The sequence below is a fragment of the Homo sapiens genome, chromosome 10 (assembly GCF_000001405.40).
Source record: "Homo sapiens chromosome 10, GRCh38.p14 Primary Assembly".
Classification (NCBI taxonomy): domain Eukaryota; kingdom Metazoa; phylum Chordata; class Mammalia; order Primates; family Hominidae; genus Homo; species Homo sapiens.
Window position 1 is genome coordinate 48,483,377 of NC_000010.11, and position 21,015 is coordinate 48,504,391.

The window sequence follows — 21,015 nt, forward strand, 5'->3', positions numbered from 1 at the left end:
GTTAATTCCTTTGATATACTGATTTCCTTTCCTTTGGATAAATACCAGCAGTGGAATTGCTGGATCACATGGTGGTTTTACTTTTAGGTTTTTTGAGAAATCTCCATACTGTTTTCCATAATGACTGTGTTAATTTACATTCCCACCAACAATGTATAAGAGTTTTCTTTTTTCAGTATCTTCTCCAGTGTCTATTTTTTTTGTGTTTTTTATAATAGGCATTCAAACTAGGGTAAGATGATATCTCATTGTGGTTTTGACTTGCATTTCTCTGCATTTTTTTCATATACCTCTTCACCATTTGTATGTCTTCTTTTGTGGAATGTCTATAGGATCCTTTGCCCACTTTTTAATGGGTTGTTTTGCCAGCTGAGTTCCTTGTATATTCTGGATATTCGTTTCTTGTCAGATGAACAGTTTGCAAATATTTTTCTCCTATTCAACGGGTTGTCTCTTCACTCTGCCGATTGTTTCCTTTGCTGTGCAGAAGATTTTTTAGTTTAATATAGTCCCACTTAGCTATTTTTGTTTTTGTTGCCTGTGCTTTAGAAGCCTTAGCCATAAAGTCTTTGACTAGACCAACATCCTGGAGTCTTTCCCTCTATGTTTTCTTCCAGTAGTTTCATACTTTCATGTTTTATGTGTAAGTCTTTAATACATTTGTAGTTGATTTCTGTACAGAGAAATGTGAGAGATGGGGTCTAGTCTCAGTCTTCTGCATATGGATATCCAGTTTTCCAGCATCACTTATTGAGGAGGGTGTCCTTTCCCCAGTGTATGTTCTTGGCACCTGTGTGGAAAATTGGTTGGCTGCTGAGCCACGTTTTTATTGGGAATGGATGTTAGATTTTGTCAAATGTCTTTTCTGCATCTATTGTAATGACAGTATATCTTTTTAGTGTGTTAATTGATGAATTACGCTAATACATTTTCAAATGCTAAACCAATCTTGCATTCCTGGGAGAAATCCCGCTTGGTAATGATGTACTATCCCTTTTATATATTGTTGTTTTGATTTGCTAAAATTTTGTTAAAAATATTTTATGTATCTTCATGAGGGATATTGGCCTGCAGTTTCCTTTACTTACAGTGTCTTGGTCTGGTTTTGGTGGCCTCACAGAATAAGCTATTAAATATTCCCTTGTTTTCAAACCTAGAAGTTTGTAGATAATTGCTATTATTCCTTCCTTAAATATTTGATATAATTCACCAATGCAGCCATCTAGGCCTGGAGTTTACTTTGTGGAAATGTTTGTAATAACAAATACAATTTCTTTAATATATACATCTATTTCTTCTTGAGTAAACTTTACTAGTTTGTGTCTTTCAAAGAATTTGTCAGTTTCATCTAAGTTATTGAATGAATTGGCATAAAGTTGTCCATAATGTTCCTTTATTATCCTTTTACTATCTGAAGAAGCTGTACTGATATTACCTCTCTCACCCTGATATTGGTAATTTCTGTCTTTTTCCTTTTCTCCTTCAATCAGCCTTGCTGGAGGATTACCAATTTTATTGATCTCAACAAATCAGCCTTTTGCTTCATTGACTTTTTTGTTTTTGTGGTTAGCAAACTTGTTTTTAAAGGACTAGATGGCAAACATTTTAGGTTTTTAGGCCATATAGTCTCTGTCACAACTACTTTACTCTGCCACTATAGTGCAAATGCAGCCAAAGACAATATGTTAACGAAGGGTCATGACTGTATCTGTGTAAACTTCATTTACAAAAACAAACAGCCAGCCTGCAGGTTGTAGGTTGCCGACTTGGGTCATAGTTCATTGATTTCCACTCTGATCTTTATTTTTTTTTCTTCTGCTTACCTTGGGTTTAATTTGGTCTTTTTCTAGTTTCTTCCAGAGTTCAGTGCTATAATTGTCCCTGAACTACTACTTTAGAGGCAGCTCCCAGATTTCAATACGTTGTGTTTTCATTTTAATTCAGTTCAAAATACCTTCTAGTTTCCCTTTGGATTTCTTCTTTAATTTATGGGTTATTTAGAAGTGCGTTAGTTTCCGAATTTGGGGGGATTGTACCAGAATATGGTATATCTTGCTCAGTGAACTTGCTAAGTGCACTGAGAAAAATTATTCTGCTGTGGTTGGGTGGAGTGTCCTATAAATGTCAATTTGGTCTAGTTGAAAGTTTTGTTCAAATCTTCAATATCCATACTGATTTTTCTGTCTACTTCTTCTATCAATTATTGAGAGAAGGCTATTCAAATCTCCAATTATAATTTTAGATTTGTCTATTTTCTCCTTGTATTTCTATCAGTTTTTGCTTCAGGTAGTTTGAAGCTGTTATGGAGCATAAATATTTAGGACTGTTATGTCCTCTTGAAGAACTGACCTCTTTATCATTATGAAATGACCTTATTTATCCCTAGTCATATTTTTTACTCTGGTCTGAAATCCTTGATATAAATATAGCCATCCAGTTTTCTTTTGATTAGTGTCAGTATGATGTTATCTTTTTCCATCCTTTTAACTTATTTGTGTCTTTACATTTTAAGTGCATTTTTTATCAGGCATATAGTTGGGTCCTGCTTTTTATCCAATCTGATAAGCTTTATTTATAATGTGATTATTGGGATGCTTAGATTTAAGTCTGGCTTCTGTTTTCTATCTGTCCTTTTTCTCTTTTCTTGTCTTGTTTTGGATGGAGTTTTTGTTTTTTGTTTTTAATGACTTCATTCTATCTGCTTTGTTGGCTTATTAGTAAAAATCTCACTCTCTTCATGCTGTAGGAATTGCTTTAGGGTTTATGGTATACATCTTTAACTTATCACAGTCTACATTAAGTGATATTATACCCCTTCATGTATGATATAAAGATCTTACAAGATTATACTTCCATGTCTTCTTTCCTGACCTTTTTTGCAATGTTTATCTTACCTTTTACTGGTATACTTTGTTATACATCTCATAATATATTGTTGCTATTTTTATTTTATTATTTTATTATTATTATTATTATTTTGAGACAGGGTCTTGCTCTGTCACCCAGGCTGGAGTGGAGTGGTGCAATCTCGGCTCACCGCAACCTCCTCTGCCTCCTGGGTTCAAGCAATTCTCCCGTCTCAGCCTCTTGAGTAGCTGGGATTACAGGCACGCACACCACGCCAGGTTAATTTTTGTATTTTTAGTAGAGACGGGGTTTCACCACGTTGGCCAGGCTGTTCTCGAACTCCTGACCTCAGATGATCCACCCGTTTTGACCTCCCATGTTATTTTTACTTTAAATCTTAACATCTTTTGAAAATATTTAAATTATAAGAGAAAAGCATATATTTACCCATGTAGTTACCACAGTGCTTTTCATTCTGTTGTGTAGATTCAGATTCCCATATGGTATTATTTTACTGCTGCCTGGAGGTCTTCCTCTAACATTTCTTGGAGTATGCAGCTATTGGTGATGAATTCTTTCAGCTATTGAGTGTGGGAATCATTAATTCATCTTCATTTTTGAAAGATATTCTCACTGGATAAAGTCTTCAAGGTTGGAAATGTTTTTCTTTCACAACTGTTAAGATGTTGCTCTACTTGCATTGTTTCTCATGAGAATTTTGCCATCATCCTCATTTTTTGATGTTTTGTGTCTTTTTTACTGTTTCACTAGTTATGGGTAATTTGATTATGACGTGCCTCAGTGCAATTTTATTCAGGTTTCCTATACTTGGAACTCACTGAACTTCTTAGATTTGTGAGCTTATAGTTTTCATAACATTTGGAATATTTTGGCGATTGGTACTTCAAATACGTGTTTCCATCCCCTGTCCCTGCTTGAGATTCCAGTTACATGTATATTACACAACTTAAGGTTATCCTGCAGCTCGCTGATGCTCTGTTTTTGTTAAATTTTTTTTCTCTGTGTGTTTTATCTTTGTACAGTGTGGTAGCAGAATAACAGCCCCCCAAAGACATCCACATGCCTGTCCCTGGAACCTGTGATTAGGTTAGGTTACACAGTGAAGAATTAAGGTTGCAGATGGAATTAAAGTTGCTAATCAGCTGGCTGCTTTAAACTAGGAAGATTATCCTAGATTATCCAAGTGGGCTCAAGGTAATCATAAGGGTATTTAAAAGTGGAGGGGAAGACAGAAGAGGAGTGTAAGAGAGAGATGTGTCTACAGCAGAAGGGATAAAATGTGAGAAGAACCTGATCTGTCATTTTTAGTCTTGAAGGTGGAGGAAGGGAGCCAGGAGCTGATGAATGCAGGCAACCTCTAGAAACTGGAAAGCTCAAGAAAAATGGACTCGCCCTCAGACCCTCCATAACGGAATTCAGGCCTACTGACACCTTGATTTAAGCCCAGTGAAACCTGTGTCAGGCTTCTGACCTACAGAACCATAAGGTAAATTTGCATTGTTTAAGCCACTAAGTTTGTGGTAACATGTCACAGGCCAGGCACCAGGCACAGTGGCTCACGCCTGTAATCCCAGCACTTTGGGAGGCTGAGGTGGGAGGATTGCTTGAGCCCCAGTTCAAGACCAGCCTGGGCAACATGGCAAGACCCCAACTCTATGAAAAATAATTTTAAAAAATTAGCCAGGCACGGCATGACCAAGCCTGTGGTTCCAGCTACTAAGGAGTCTGAGCCCAGGAGTTCCAATCTGCAATGAGCTGTAATCATGCACTGCACTCCAGTCTATGCCACAGAGCAAGATCCTGTCTCAATAAATAAATAAATAGTAAACAATGTGTCACAACAGCAATAGAAAACTAATACAGCTAGCTGCTATTGCTATGTCTTCACAAATCTTTTCATGTTAGTGTGTCTAATCTGCCATTAACCCCACCCAGCATTAGTTTTCATCTCATACGTAATAGGTTTGATCTCTAGAAGTTTAATTTAGGTCTTTTTAAAAAAATAACTTTCATGTGTCTACTTTTTGATCATATAGAATACAGTTAGAAAAACTGTTTTAATGTCTTTGCTAATTCTAAAATCTGTGTCATTTCTGGGTTTGTCTCAATTGATTGCTTTTTATTTTTCTCCTCATTATGGGCTACATTTTCCTGCTTCTTTGCATTCCTGTTATTTCTAATTAGTTGCCAGACACTGTGATTTTTAAATGGTTGGGTGATGAATGTTTCTGTATTTCCATAAATATTCTTCAGCCTTTTTCTGGTATGAACGTAGATTCTTGGAAAGAGTTTGATCCTTACAGATGTTGCCTCTAAGATTTGTTAGGTGGAACCAGAGTACTCAGTACAGAGCTAATTATTTCCCACTACTGAGGGAAAACCCTTCTGTATATTCTGTCCTACGCCCTACAAGCTGTTAGGTTTTACGGTCTTGCAGGCAGGAACAGGTGCCATGCTTTGCCTGGCATTAGCGTGGGTGCTGTTGCCTCTGATCCTTTCTGGTAGTTCTTTGCCCAACCTGGGGTAGTTTTCCTCATGTGCACATGGTGACGAGTGCATGGCTCAATTCTCAAGGCATTTTTCTCTCTGTGCAGCTCTTTCCTCCTCAGCAGCTACCCTGCAGACTCTAGATGTTTTGGTCTGTCTGGACTTTTAGCTCTGTCTCTTCAACTCACAGAGTCCAACGGGCTCCACCTGGGTCTCCCCTTCCTGCATACAGCCTGCAAACTTTCTCCAGGCAGTCAGCTGGGGCACATGTAGGGAATCACCTTGTTTCCCATCTCTTGGGGGTCATAGTCCTTCCCTAACGTATTTTGAAAGCATTGTTTCAAATATTTTGTGCTTTTCTTTTTTCTTTCTTTTCTTTTTTTTGGCTGTTTCAGGTGGGAGGGTAAATAGGTCCCTGTTACTTTATCTTGTCCAGAAGTGAAAACCCTATTACCATGCCTAAGGGCCTACTCTATATGAAACACCCTGCAAGGTGCTTAATAGGCCCAGTCCCAGGCAGTCTTCATAGACACCCTAGGAAGGAGCATTGATGACCCCATTTGACAGGTGGAAAAACCGAGGCTCAGAGAAGTTAAGAACTTTGCTCATGAACAGGCAAGTGGAGGTGTTGGAATTCAAACACAGGTTTGTTTGCCCATAAACTCATTCTGTTTTCTCAATATAAAATCTTCCTTATGGCAATAAAGGGGAGTGCAAGGAAGATGAAATGGAGGATTACAAGATTACAACAAACTTGGGGACTTTCTACAGTGTTCCATGGTTTATGCTGACCTTCTTCTCTGTAACTTAGGAAACATTAGTATTAGCTTTACTTAAATGAATAAGAATTACACTGGCAAATATTTCAGGAATAAATTCATTATGAAAGATGAGTGTCTATTATCACAGTTTCTGGTTTTTCCTCTTTTTTAATTGTCTGTGTGGCCACTGTGTTTCCACCCCATCCCATTACACATGACAGACTTCTGAGGCTGCCTCTTTTTTTTTTTTTTTTTTTTTGAGACGGAGTCTCACACTGTAGCCCAGGCTGGAGTGCAGTGGTGCAATCTTGGCTCACTGCAAGCTCCGCCTCCTAGGTTCACGCCATTCTCCTACCTCAGCCTCCCGAGTAGCTGGGACTACAGGCACCTGCCATCACGCTCGGCTAATTTTTTGTATTTTTAGTAGAGATGGGGTTTCACCGTGTTAGCCAGGATGGTCTGGATCTCCTGACCTCGTGATCCACCCGCCTAGGCCTCCCAAAGTGCTGGGATTACAGGTGTAAGCCACCACGCCCGGCCCAGAGGCTCTCTTAAACAGTGCTTAGGGTCCAACGTCTATGGGTCAAACCTCAGCTCCCTCAATGTGGAGCACAGTGACTTAATTTCCCCAACTGTCAGACTCATGCACCTGTAGGGGGATGAAACCAAAGGGACCCACCTCATCAGGAGAATGAAATGGGACAGCCCCTTAGCTTAGTCCCTGGCAGCTGGCAAGCACTGTCTAAGTGTTCCCTTTTATTATCATATTTAAGTACAGGATAGAGGGGGATTTCTCAGCCTCAGCACTACTGACATGTTGGGTGAGATCATTTTTCATGGGGTGTGGAGGCCTGTCCTGTGCATAGCAGGATGGGCAGCAGCATCCCTGACCTCTGCCCACTCCCTCCCTCCCAGGCTATGACAGCCAACAGTGTCTCCATACATTGTCAAATGTCCCTTGGAGCCCAAATGCCCCAGTTAAGAAACATTGATACGGAACAGCCAGATCTCTATTGCCTATGAGTCTAAATGACTTACAATTCTATCATCCTGTGACTTCCCGTAGGCACAATGTGGCATGTCCAAGAATTCTAAGTGCCGCTTCTATCAAACTAGCTCCTCCTGTGTTCCCACTTCGGTGGCCACAGCTAGGTGCCCAAGGCAGGATGTTGGGAGCCCCCTGGACTCTTCCTCTCCCTCACCTTTACACTGACCCCAGTCTCCCTGGTGGGCCCATCCGTTCTCAGGCGTTAAATGCTGTCCTCGTGCTGAGACATCCAGATTCACTGCTCCCCTGACCTCCAGACCTGCGGGAAGTTCACCTCCCATCTGCCTACACCCTCTGCTCTCAGGTGAGGGCAACTCCATCTTCTGGTTACTCAAGTTGAAACCGGACACATCCTTGCTCCACTCTCTCTCACCTCTCCTATCCATTCCTCTCAGCAAATTCTAGTAGCTTCTCCTTCAGAACATAGCTGCAATCTGGTCACTTCTCACTGCTCACCTGGTCTGGGCCACCACCACTCCTCATCTAGAGTGCTGTACAGTCTCCAGGCTCCTTCCTTTATCCCGACAATCTATTCTCAGTTGAGCAGCCACAGAGACCTGGTAGAGGCCTGAACCAGCTCCCCAACCCCTGCTCAACATCCCCCAGCAGGCCCCTCTTGGCAAAGGCCTCGCAGTGAGCCTGAAGGCCCCTCACCCCTACTCCTGCGACGTCATCTCTGGCTCCCCTCCCCTTTGCTTTTGCCAGTTCTCAAGCACACCCGGCATGCTCCTGCTTCACGGTTTTTGGACCTGCTGTTCCCTTGCTCCTGCTGTGGCCCAGAAAGCTGTCCTTGCAGCACTGGCCCCCTTCAGGTCTTTCTTCAGATATTACCTTCTTGGGGAATCTTTCCTGACCACCCTATTTAAGGCTCACCATGCATCACCCACCACACCCCATGTTCCTTCTTGGCCTGAATTTTTTCATAGCACTGATTGCAATCAATACACTCTGTATGTATTTTATGTGTTTACATGACATGCTTATTCATAATGTTTCTGGTTGGCCCACCCCGACTCTGTCTATTTTATAGGCAACTCCAGCACAGCCAGCAGAGCCTGGCATGGAGAGGACACGCACTGAGCCTGAGATGAATAGGAGGTTAGTGAGGGCGGCAGCGGCAGAACAAAGGAGACTGGCACACGTGAAACCCTCGCGTAAGGCGGGCATGACACTCACAGACTGATGAGCGTGAGTAGTGTGAACACTTGTGGGATCTTGAGGGAAGCAGTATCACTATTCCCATTTTAAAGAGAGGTAACTGAGCCCAGAAATGTTTAGAAACAGCCCCAGCTCTAACTATGAGCTGTGTGTGTATGTACCAGGGAACTATGACCCCGGGAAGTCTGGCTCCTATCCGAACCCCACTTTTCTCACTGCTTCTGCCTGTGGCTTGTTCAAGGGCACCAGCCCCAGGTGACCAGCCCTTTTTGATTCCAGCCAGGCTTTCTCCCCTCTGAGCTCCTGAACTTAAGGATTTCCTTTTGAGACCTGGGGAGAGGGGGAGGCTCGAAAATGCAGGGGTCGCAGGACAAGAACTGGCTTTCAACTTTTCCATATAAACATTTTCATAAGAAAAAGAAAAAAGGGTAACTGATATGTGTGAAAGCATTTTGTAAGCTGCTGGGACTTATTCCATTATGTTCAGGTGAAAAAGTTGTCAATTGATCAAATTATATATCTGACTTAACCCTTCTTTACCAAGGTTTATTGAAAAATATTTTTTAAAACTTTTTTTTAAAAAAATATTTTTTAAAAGTGGCAGCAGCAATGTATGATTTGTCACAGGGCCCACTGTCACTCTCCTGGCTGCCTAGAGCACAGAAGCCCTCGGAGGGCCCTAGCAGCTGGGTGTCAGGGGTGAAGGCCAAGTGTCTAGATGCAGCCGTCTAGAGCAGTGTGATCCAACAGAGATATAATGTGAGCTACATGTGAAACTTCAAATGTTTTAGCAGCTACACTCAAAAAGTAAAAAGGAACAGCTGTATTTATGTTTAAAGTATATACAAAATAAATTACTTTCTTTTTTTTTCAAGATGGAGTTTCACTCTTTTTGCCCCAACTGGAGTGTAGTGGCACAATCCTGGCTCACTACAACCTCCGCTTCCCAGGTTCAAGTGATTCTCCTGCCTCAGCCTCCCGAGTAGCTGGGATTATGGGTACCTACCACCACACCCAGCTAAATTGTGTATTTTTAGTAGAGATGGGGTTTCATCATGTTGACCAGGCTGGTCTCAAACTCCTCACCTCAGGTGATCCGCCCACCTCAACTCCCAAAGTGCTGGGATTACAGGCCACTGCACTCAGCCAAAAATAAATTACTTTCAATGGCAAAAACAGCAATTACTTTTGCACCAACCTAATATTTTGTTTATTCCAATATATCTACAATAGTAGCATTAATTTCAACATGTCAATTAAAATTATTCAGATATTATACATATATTTGTACAAAGTCTTAAAAATCTAGTGTATATTTAGCACTAACAACACATCTCAATTTGGACTAGCCACGTTTCATGTGCTTAGCAGCCACATGTGGCTGGTGGCTACAGTGAGGAACAGTGTGGACTGGGGCTGGCGGTGTATGTTGCCTTTGATGGGCCATTATTTTGCCAACCACACTCTCAGGCATCCTGAGACCTGCCTGTGTGTGTGGTGTTAGCCCTGGGCAATGAGCCAGCTGGAGGTTCCTGCACAGGATCCCTAGCGGCGGCCTCACCCTGCCAGATGTACCAGGCTGAACCTCCCTGCTGTCCTCCCAGTCTTCATTCATGTCTTTCATTTCTCTTTACCTGGTTGCGGCCACCAAACACCACTTCCCTTTCAAGGGTTAATCGCCCTCCCCAGTCTCCCAGCCTGGTCCTCACAGCCTGCCAGTGACTCCAGCTATCCACTTACCCCTGGGCATACGCCTGCTCCTCTTCAGACACCTGATGGGCCAGAAGGGCATGGTGTGGAGCAGCGGGGGCTGCAGTGAGAGGAGCAGTGGCCAGACACACCTGTTGGGGTGCAGAAAACCACCAGGTGCACGAGGCACTCCTCCACTGCAGGGCTGCGGCCACTCGGCTGCCTGTGTGCTCTGCCTGTGGGCATCAGGCTGAGGCCTTTTGTCTCTCCTGGGGAACTTCTGCATTTATCAGTGCCCGAAGGCTGGGACTGTCTGGGGCGGGGCAAGAAGGACTTGCTGGGATCCCCGCCAGTGGGAGGTCGGCGTGGTTGTTCTGCATCCGCATCTGTGCCTGCCACCCTGTGCACTTGTCCTGCTGTGTTCTTGACTCCCTGAGGTGGGGGGAGTGTCCATCCTATTTATCTGGCATGTGGGAACCCCAGCTCAGTGCCACTAGCTTTATGCCTCAGGGTTCTCTCCAGGTGGACCCACCCACCAGGTATTGGAGATTAATGAATGCATGGGAGAAGCCTGATGTAAGTGCTTATGCCACATGGTCTTGAGATAGTTACTTAATCTTTCTGTTTCCATTTTCTCATCAGCAAAACAAGGCCAATAACTAAACCCACCTCCCAGGACTGTGGTGAAGATGGAATGAGACCAAGAAGCCAGAGGCTGGGCACGGCACCTGCACGTGGTACTTGGTAAGCACCTCCGTATCCTCTAAGGTAGACACATGGTCTGTGTCACAGACAGAGAAGCTGACGCTCCGTGAGCTTTCAGTGGCCCAGGGTCACCACGCTGGGAAATGGCACAGCCAGGATTTGAACTCAGCTGTTGTGGATTCTGTGCGCCAGTCAGCTGCTGCCTTTATGGTGTCTCCCTTGCCTCTGGGACAAAGGGAGCAGGAAGCAGCTCCTTCACCTAGCCTGGTCTCCTCTCCTCCAGCAGCAGTCGCCCCTCCCAGGATGTGGTTTCAGGAGCTCACACCTCAGGCAGCCCTGGAGGGCAGAGGGAGGCAATGAGCACCAAACTTTGCTCAGTAAGTACAGAGCAAGGGGCTACGCCTGTGCCGATGCCACCTGTTCATCTGCCCATCTCCCCCATTTCTCCATCCATCTGTCCACTTGTTCATCTGCCCATCTATCCATCTGCTCATTTGTCTACCCATCTATCTATCCATCCATCTGTCCGTCCATCCATCCACCCATCTATCCATCCACCCATCTGTCCACCTCTCCAGCAAAGAAAAGCAGCCCCTTAAGGGCAAAGCACAACTGCTGGAAACCCTTCAGAGGGCCTACTGTTCTTGGAATAAAACCCAACTCTGATGTGACTGTGGGCCTCCAGGTCCCTCGGACCACCTCTCCTCCCCCGGCCCATGTCCTGCTGTCAGCCACTCTAGCACCCTCTCTCCCTCAAGCTCACCCTCTTCCCACCAGAAACTTTGCATTCTCTCAGGTGCTCCAAATGCCCTCCCACCTCCTTGCATGGCTGACTCCCTCTCATTTAAAGCCTCAGCTCAAATGTACATTACAGAATCCTTCCCTGGGTGAGAGCCTTCGTCAAGGAGCTGCGCCCTCCCACCCAATTAGTCTTACACGACTTTCTCTATAGAACTTATCCTGATTGGAAAGCAGCTTGTTTGTCTGCATACGTGTTTACTGCCTGTCTCTGTGAAAGGAATGTACGACTTATGAAGGAATGTATGACTGTTCTTCCTGGTGTCCCCAGGTACTAGTCTAGTGCCTGGAAAAGGCTCAGGGTTCAGTGAATGGCAGCAGTCACAGAGGGGGATGTGGAGGGCTCTGGGAGGTAACAGGCAATCTCTCTTAATTAAAATATCCAGCTTTGATTGAGTGCTCACCATATGCTGGGCATCATCCTAAAAGCTTTCGTGTTTTATCTCGATGTCCTCACAACCACCTGATATGGTGTTACAATGATGATACCCCATTTACAGATGAGAACACAGAGGCTACAGAAGGTTGAATAATTAGTCGAAGGTCACATGACTAATAAGATGTATCTTCCCAACTGCCCCCGGTCACCCAAGGGAAATTAGTTGCCAACTGGTGCCTAAAGCACTGGCCACTCACAGCCCACTCTTAATAGCTGAGGATCTGAATGCCCCAGGCAGTCTGGCTGCAGAGTGGGTGCTCCAGGCTCCATCCCTTGGTGGGCAGCCTCTGCAATGGCCCCCGGTGAACCTTCCTCCTGGTAGTCAGACTCTTGTGTAATTACTCCTCGTGAAGGTGGGCAGGACCTAATAACTTGCTTTTAATGAATAGAATGTGGCAAAAATTGACAGGATGTCACTTCTGAGATTAGGTCACAAAGAGACAGTGGCTTCCCTCTCACATTCCCTCGCTTGTTCTCTGGCTTGCTGGCTGTGTTGAGGCAGGCTGCCCTGCTGGGAGCTGCCCGAGGCGGAGGCCCACGTGGTGAGAAACTGAGAGAAGCCTCCAGAAACAGCCAGCAAGGGACTGTGGTGGTCTGTCCAGCAGCCCTCAAGGGACTGTCCCTTACAAATAGCCGTGTGATTCAGCTTGAAGTGGATCTCCCATCAGTCAAGCCTTCAGATGAGCCCACAGTTGCAGCCAATTCTGTGATGAGCCTGTGAGAGCCCCCAAGCTACAGGATGCAGCCAAGCCACACCCGGATTCCCGACCCACAGAGCTGTGGGATAATAAATGTTTGTGTTTTAAGCCACTAGGCTTGGGGGGTAATCTATGATGTAGCAAAGGTGATGTATGCAATCCCCATTTTGTCAAAACATAGCCTGAAGCACAACCATCCCCCTTATGGTCGGTTGTCTTCAGAGGCCTGGACAGTGGGGCTCTGGTGGTATGAGGATATACAATCCTCACATCTCTTCCTGTACCAATAAAGATGGGGACGGTAATAACATTAAATAACAACAGCAGCCTACTATGCGCCAGTCATGTGCCACATACACGCAATCACATAGACTATGGCATTTTATCCTCTCCATAGCTTGTGAGATAGGTGTCATGATTCTCATTTTACAGATAAAGAAACTGAGGCTCAGAGAGATGGACTTTGTTGCTCATAGTCACATAGGTAAGAACTGGAAGAGCAAGAATTCCCAGCCCAGAGCTGCTGCCTCCAGGGCTGCCTGTTCTGGCCGCTCTCTTCACCTTAGCTGCTGGGACCTGACCTCCTTCTCTAGGATCTTACCTAAGATCCTTGTCCCCGGGTGCCTGCTGAACAATCGCCTGGTGCCTGCCAGAATATCTGTAGGAAGACAGCCGGTAACACTAGGTAAGGAAGTCTGTACTGCCGTGTGCCGGTTGCTACTTTATGGAATCCCCCTCCTAGTTCAGTGCAGTAATGGAGGGGGGCTGCATCTTGCCCTATGGAGTTCACAAACCTGGCTGTGGAGGTGCTGTGTAGTACACCTCTGGAGATTGGGGGGTAGGAACCAAGGTGCCCTAACTGCCACTGGGCCGTGAGCTACTCACACTCGGCTTTCTCAGGTCCTAGCTCAGAGTGAAATGGGTATACCGGATTCCTTGGGGCTCTGTGCAGGGGGCCCAGGGCCCACTGCTCCATCCCCCAGGGCAGCACTGCACTGGGCCCTGGACCCTGACTCTCCCAACTGCCCATGGCTGGTCAGGAGAAACTGCATGCTGCTGACCTCCTAGGGGTTTGACACCTCCCACCTGCTCTTAGGTGGTGATCATGGGACCTGGACAATCCACTGCCTGCACATACAGGGCTAGGGTCTCCCATGGAAAAATTATCAAAACGGCAAGATGTGCTTACTCAGCTGCAAAAGCAAAGCCCACTCCTGAAGGAGAGCAGGATCCTGACCTTGTCTCCCCAGGGTAGGCCTTGGGCCACAGCTCTGTCTCCTTGGCATGGGTGAAGAGTAGGTGGGGTTCTCCAGGGCAGCTGGGCTTTCTGCTTCCTGCCTCCTCCTCAGCAGCGCTCAGCCAGGGATAGGAGGAGGCTGATGACTCACTTCTATGTTTCCAGAAAGTGTTTTTATTGCCATAAATGCAGAGAGAAAAGGAGATGCAGAAGGCAGAGGGGAAGGAGGGAAGAGGATGTTGAAGAGGGAGTGCCGGTGGTCAGCGGACGCTGTGTAAGGGGTCGGCTGTTTGAGGCCTCGCAGTGTGCTGCAGTACAAGCTGAGCAGTCTGGGGAGGAAGGAGCCCCTCCAGGAAAACAGCTCTGGAAAGAAGAGGCAGGGCACTACCGGGGACACAGGAACAAAGCCAAGGAAACCTGTGGTCTCACCATCCACCTGCCCTGTCTTCCAGGTCCCCCTTGGCCACAATACCTCAGTCCCAGGTGCAGCTCCTGCCACTCGCAGCAACTGCAAGGCCCAGGGGCTCAATAAACGGACCCCTCTCACTCTGCTCCATCCCCCAGGGCAGCACTGCAGTGGGCCCTGGGCCCTGACTCTGTCGCTGTCATGGGGTAGGAGAAGGGGGCCATTCCAGGGTCCTCCCAGCAGGCCTGAAGAGATAAAGGGCAGAATATCAGGAGGGGAGGCGATAGACTGAGAGCAGCAGAAACTTCAGGTGTCCATGGTTCCTCTAGGGCTCTGCCTCTGTCTATCCCTTAGAGTTGCTGTGTGTGTACTCCAGAGAAAGAGGATGCAGTGCCTCGGGCCGGTCCCCAACTTGCATAAGGCTCCCTGCGGGTAACATCTACCTTGGCCTGTCATCACGAGCCCACATGCTCTGTTTTCTGAGAAGAAAGATGTGATCCTGTGGTGAAAGGAGAAAGCTGGCCCGAGCAGGACACGGCCCAGATGAGTCTCCCATTACCTACTCTCGCATCCCTGCAGGGACCACGGCAGCCACACTGCATAGCTGTACCAGGGCACCTAGAAACCTGGTGAGTCCCTCTCCTCCTTGGGGTGTGCTGGCGAACAATGAAGGCCCCTGAACAAAAATACCAGGCACCTGTTGGTCCTCAGAGCCTCCAGGTGCTCCACATGATGGCCCTTCTGGCCCCTTGCCCAAGCCAGGAGCCAGTGAAGTGAAGTGGCCCACATGTAGAGGAAGCCACCCCAACACCCCCACCAGTCCCAGCACAAGGATTTAGAGCCCTCTGCATCCCCAAGCAGTGGCCCCGCTGCAGCCTCCCTCTGCCCGGCCCCCTGCCCTATCCTTTGTGGAGTTCTCATACCCGCTCTGCACACAATAGCACCTCTTGATGCGCTAGAGCCAAAAGTACAATTCTAGCTGGCGTAAGAAGGGCAGCAGCCACAGAGTCCATACTCAACATTTCAGAACCCAAAATGCCCAAACAAGCAGGCAATGACAAAAGCCAATCCAATACCAGAAGCAACATCATGACCAAAGCAGGGGAATGGGACACCAGGATACACAAAGGTGATGGAATGACAGGCAGCCATTGAAAGAGGTGCATACCTATCACTCATTAAAGAAGATCTGGAAAGAAATGAAAAGCAGTTCTATTTTACAGGCTGCCCTAAGACTAGAGATGCAGCCACCGAGACCCAAGGGGAGCTTCTTGGAGGGACATCTGAGAAAGGCTCCCTCCTGTCTAAGAAGGACTCCACCAAGAGACCCCTCTCCATGGAAGGGGCGTGTCCTGCCTGTTGGTCGCTTGGTGGTCATCTTGCAGCCACTCCGGCCAGCGAGCAGAGCCAATAGTCCAAAGCGGGTGAAGGGGCAGGGGGAGGCCATGTCCTCATTGACAGTGCTGGGGCCCCGAATCACCAGCCCGGGGGGCTGCCTCCCTCTGGGTTTCTTGGTCTGTAAGAATAACATAGCTCCTTTGATTTTGGAAGGTTACATGGGCTTTCCTGTTTCCTGCAGCTGGAAGCAGGATGGTACAGATGGCGTGAGAGCCACAGGCCGCCCACATAGCTGCACCACCTCCTCCCCAAGCTGCCAGGCATGGGCAGGCCTCGCTGGCTTGCTGGTGCACACTGGCGGCCTGCAGCTCACCAGTCTAAGGGGAAATCTGAAAAGACACTTGACAAAACTGAACATCCATTTTGATAAATATTCTTTGTTAAATGAGAACAGGTGGCTTCTTCACCTGGATATACTCAAAGCCAACACTGCATTCAGTGGAGAGACAATGGCACCATTCCCATCAAAGCCAGGAACGATACAGGCACGTCTAATGAAGCCCCTGGTATAGAGCATTTCCCTGGAAGGGTTCACCAACCAGACAAGAGAAAGAATGGAAAACTATGAAAGCTGGAGAGGAGGGTGAGCTGTTATTACTCCTGCTGTTAAATTATTTTTCAGGGTACTTGTTTATATGTGTGGAAGTTCTAAGTCAATGAACTGAAAACCCATCATAATCAATAAAAGAATCCAGTAAATCAACTGGGTGCGAAATTAATATATAAAAAGAACAATCTATTTGTAAATTAGGAGAAACAGAAATGCATTCTATGTATATAAGTAGGAAAATAGAGATGCCAGCAGCATAATAGAGATGCCAATTCTCTCTAATTTGGTCTATTAATTTAACACAATATGAATAGCATTTCTTTTTAAACCAGATAAGTTGATTCTTAAGGTTCATAAGCAAAAATAGCAAGTGCACTTTTGAAAGAAAACATAGTGAAGTCCGACCAGCCCAACCAATTATTAAAAGAGAGTATAGAGGCTAGGCATGGTGGCTCACACCTGTAATCCTAATACTTTGGGAGGCCAAAGTTGGAAGACTGTTTGAGGCTAGGAGTTCCAGACCAGTCTAGGCAACAGAGCAAGACCCCACCTCTGTAGACAATAATAATTAAAAAATTAGCCACGTGTGGTGGCGCACACCTGTAATCCCAGCTATGCAGGAGGCTGAGGTAGGAGGGTAACTTGACCTCAGCAGAGCAAGAAGCTGAAATAAGCTGTGATCTGAACTCCAAACTGGGTGACAAAGCAAGACTCTATCTCAAAACAAAACAAAACAAAAACAACAACAAAAACCTGAGTAGAGCTACTCAGTAATTAAAACAGCACTGGGTGGCATGACCAGAGAAAGACTCACACACATATGGGAGTTTGGAATGTTTAAGGAGCTCTTTCAAAGGGGTGAGGACAGGTGGGATTCTCTAATAAATGGGATAGGGACAATGGGAGAGCCACATGAGGAAAAATCAAGCTGAATCCTTATGTCACACCTTACAACCAAATAAAAATACACAATAGATCAAAGATTAAGGCCAGGCGCCGTAGTTCACACCTGTAATCCCAGCACTTTGCGAGGCTGAGGTGGGCGGATCACCTGAGGCCAGGAGTTCGAGACCAGCCTGGCTAACATGGTGAAAAAACCCCGTCTCTACTAAAAATACAAAAATTAGCTGGGCGTGGTGGCGGGCACCTGTAGTCCTAGCTACTCGGGAGGCTGAGGCAGGAGAATTCCTTGAACTCAGGAGGTGGAGGTTGCAGTGAGCCAAGACGACGCCACTGCACTCCATCCTGGGTGACACAGTGAGACTCCGCCTCAAAAAAAAAAAAAAAAAGATTTAAAGTTGAAAAATGAAACTATAAAAGTGCCAGGCTCAACCATGGGAGAAATTTTGTATAAAATTTTGGAGAAGGCCTAAGTATGACTCAAAAACAAGAGACCACAAAAGAAAATGTAACTACATGAAAGTTAAAAATAGTTGCAAGGCAAAGAAAAGAAAGTGAAAAGACAAATGGCAAAAGGAGAGGGCCCAGCTACATATCCATAAAATGGGATGCTTTGCAGGTATTAAAAAATGAGGGTGTACTTTATGCCCAGATTTGTTTGAATATGTACAAAGTATCTCTGGACAGAGAAAGAGAACAGTGGCTTTTTCTGGGGATGAAGGTGAGTGGCTGGAAGGCAGGGAAACAGGGAGACTGGCTTGTGCCTTCTGATAGTTGTACTATTTGTTACCTATTTTAAAAAACAAATGAAAATGAGGTTTAATATAAAGTGACAGGTGAAATGAGCCTTCTCACACCACGTGTTCCAGGTGTGTGGGTAAGGCCAGTGCAGGGCCCCTGAGGCCTCCCCATGGGAGGTGCTCTTGGCTGGTTTACCAGCATCTCAAGGGAGGGGTTGCAGCTGAAGGCATACACCTGATGGGGATGGTGAGGAAAGTGGGCAGACCTTCGAGCTGTTGCTAGAAGTAGATTTTGGTTTTGACAATCTCTTTGGAAGAATAATTTGAGATATATCAACATTTTAAATGACCCAGCAATCTATTCCTAGAAATTTACTCTTCAGATAAATTTGTACACGTGCATAAAAAGTTAGTAAACATAACTGGGAACAACTTAACCTTTCATCAAATTAAATAATGTATTGATTAAATTATGTACATCCAAAAAAAAAAAAAGAAGGTGGTGAAACTGTGTGAAGTGATACGGGATGCTCCGTTACTATGTGGAAAAAGTAAATGGATGATATATACTCAGAGGTGCATAGATCTGCATGCCTATTTCTGGAAGGAGGAGCTGGATACTGGGCCCCAGGCTAGCTCCCAGAAGAGAAGGGAGGGTCTCAGGAGCAGGGGAGGAGCAGCTTCCTCTCAGGAGAGGCTCTGAAGTGCTGGCATTGGATTCTCACAGGCACAGATGACTGTCTTGATTGAAGATTGTGTTTATTTTCATTGCTGAGAGAGTCAGGAACTTGTGTTTGGTGCTGGAGAAGTTAAGCCAGCCCTGTGTTTTGAGTACTTTTAATTTAGGAAAATGCCCCAAATGTCCTCCAAATGGTTTCAGCTCTGTTCCCCTTTCACTAGCTTATAATCATAGCAGAGTTTCACTTCTTAAAACCAGCCTCTCCCTAAGAATCTTCCTTTGTGATTCTGGGGATGCTGGGGCTTTTAGGGGATCAGTGTGTGATCTTGCCCTGGGCAGTACCTCGTGGGGGAAGGAGGACTCTGATTTTTCTCCCAGGGACAATTGCAGAAGTGAAGAGTGTGGGAACAGCTGGGGAATGCCCAGGCACTGCCAAGGGGTGGTCTCTGCAGTGCAGTCAGAACTTTCCCTTCTCCATTGAGAATCTTACATCATGGCCTTACCCTGTTGTCTTCAGGACACGTCCCAGTTTGCTGCTTCCCACTGGGCTCCTGCTTGATGAGCGGAGAGCACCTTTCCAGCCCCAGCCAGCTCTCCCCATCTCACCGGACACTCCAGGTGCCCTGCCCTCTTGCTTATTGCCAGGAAGCACCACATTCTTCATGCCTCCAGGTGTTTGCACATGCTGGTGCCTTTCCCACCTGGCCACCTGGCAAACTCCTACTCATTCATCAAGACCCAGCTCAAATATCCCTACTTCTCCCTCACCTTCCCCAACCGTTGCCCTTCATCCACTCCCAAATTTCCATATCCCATTCTTCCTCCCATAAATATTTATTGATGGTCTACCATGTGCCAGACACTGTGCCACATACTGGGGACACAGCAGTGACAAAAGCAAGAGTCTCTGCCTCTCAGAGAGTGGCCCGGTAGCGGAGACAGGCATTAACCAACATCATCAACAAACTCAAAGCAGTCAATGCTAGGAAGGATCCCGGGGGCCTACTGGGGTCAGGGATAAAGGCATAAATTCAGAACAGCATCCTCTCAGCCACCTCCACCCACGGCTTGGGCTCGCCTGGCTCTGAGGCTGATTGGACGAGGCCCCCTCGTCTCCTGACCTTGGAGAAGCCAGGACTTGGCCAGGCCTCCGCAGTAAGAATGCATGGCTGAGACTGGAAAACACCAAGGAACGTGGTGCCATCACCAATGTAAAAATATTTGGAGGGAGAAGAAAATAAGTTAAAACAGCAGCATGTTAAATGGAATATGTTAACTGTCAGCTGAAGACCATGTTCCGAAATGTTCAAGAGAGGGGTTGTGGGGACGAATGGTGGCCTGGTGGCTGATGTAACTGATGCTGAGTGACCTGGAGGGAATAACGGATGGCTCAACTCATTATTCTAAGGAACAAAAAAGGAACTAACATTTATGAGGCACCTACTCAGTGCCAGCTTCCAGTGTCAACCTGTCCAGTGACTCTGTGGAGGGGAGGGCTATTTATTTCTACATTGGTATAAACGATGTCAGTCTCAGAGATTAATGAGGCCCCACACCTGCTGCTGCGGCTACTGCTGCTACCGTCACTGGCACCACCACCCTGCTAACACCACGTACATGCTTTGTGAAGCTCCTCTCCCAGCAACTCTGGGAAGTACAGGCTATTATCCCGCTGTCCTTCCCTACCATCCCATGGTGCCGGGAGAAGCCCAGGCCACTGGGTGAACCTCCCAAGTCCAGGAGGCTGGTAAGTGATGGAACTGCAATGTGCATCGATGTCCCCTCCTCAGCCCAAGTCCTGCTGGCACCTACCTGGAGTGCCCCTTCCGGGCCTCCTGGGGTATGAGTGGTGCCTGCACCTCCCCTAACTCCTGCTGGAGTGCTCTGCTATGAGTGAACACATCAACATTTGCTAAATGAGTAACTCCGAGCAATGTGGCCTAATAGGAAGCAGATATGAACCCCGGCTGGCCTGTGCCTTTCTCTACTTTGGGTTGCTATTGAGAACGTTTTCCCCCAACTAACAGTGTGTCTTAACCTGGGTTCCCTAAAATCAAAGCCTGAGGAAAAGGTTATTGTTCAGGAAGCTATCCCAGGGAGAAGTGCGGGATGGGGAAGGAGGGATGGGAAGGAGGGAGAGCCCCACAGGGAAGCTGGATAAGCTGCCTGCTGCCCTGGGGGCCTGGGGACTCCATTTGGCCTCATGAAATGTGTGTCAGGACTGCCAGTCCTGGGATGAAAAGGGGAGGAAGGATCCCCTGGCTCCAGTCATCCAATGGCCAAGGGTGATCCCTGGAACCTTAGCTCCCCACTCTCCAGAGGGCTGGACCCATGCAGGAAACCTGAAGGGCAGGGAGGCTGATTCTTCCAGTGAGACCACAGGTACTTCCCAAGACTCTGGTGTGTGCAGGATGCTGTGCTTGACATATGGGGTGGCCTGGATGGGGTGTGTGG

The 21,015-nt window shown here is 46.5% G+C and overlaps 1 protein-coding gene across 29 annotated transcripts in view, besides 1 other annotated feature; it reads right to left on the reverse strand.

Moving 5' to 3' along the window:
• Window positions 1-21,015, reverse strand: part of ARHGAP22 (Rho GTPase activating protein 22) — a 226,435-nt gene that overhangs the window by 53,546 nt on the left and 151,874 nt on the right. For 2 of the 29 annotated variants that reach the window (NM_001256026.2, XM_011540005.2), the window contains exon 1: window positions 10,063-10,274. The exons of the other annotated variants lie outside the window; for them this stretch is intronic. In NM_001256026.2, coding sequence (NP_001242955.1) covers window positions 10,063-10,114 — 52 coding nt within the window. In that variant the 5' untranslated portion in view covers window positions 10,115-10,274. Of the gene's footprint in view, window positions 1-10,062; window positions 10,275-21,015 lie in introns of those variants that run through there. 29 annotated transcript variants of the gene reach the window in all.
• Window positions 13,870-14,164: a silencer, noted in NCBI's record as "tiled region #14185; HepG2 Repressive non-DNase unmatched - State 10:DNaseD, and K562 Repressive DNase unmatched - State 5:Enh". NCBI's record gives its function as "represses a minimal TATA promoter and a strong SV40 promoter by Sharpr-MPRA in HepG2 and K562 cells {active_cell/tissue: HepG2 | K562}" and the evidence as "EXISTENCE:reporter gene assay evidence [ECO:0000049][PMID:27701403]".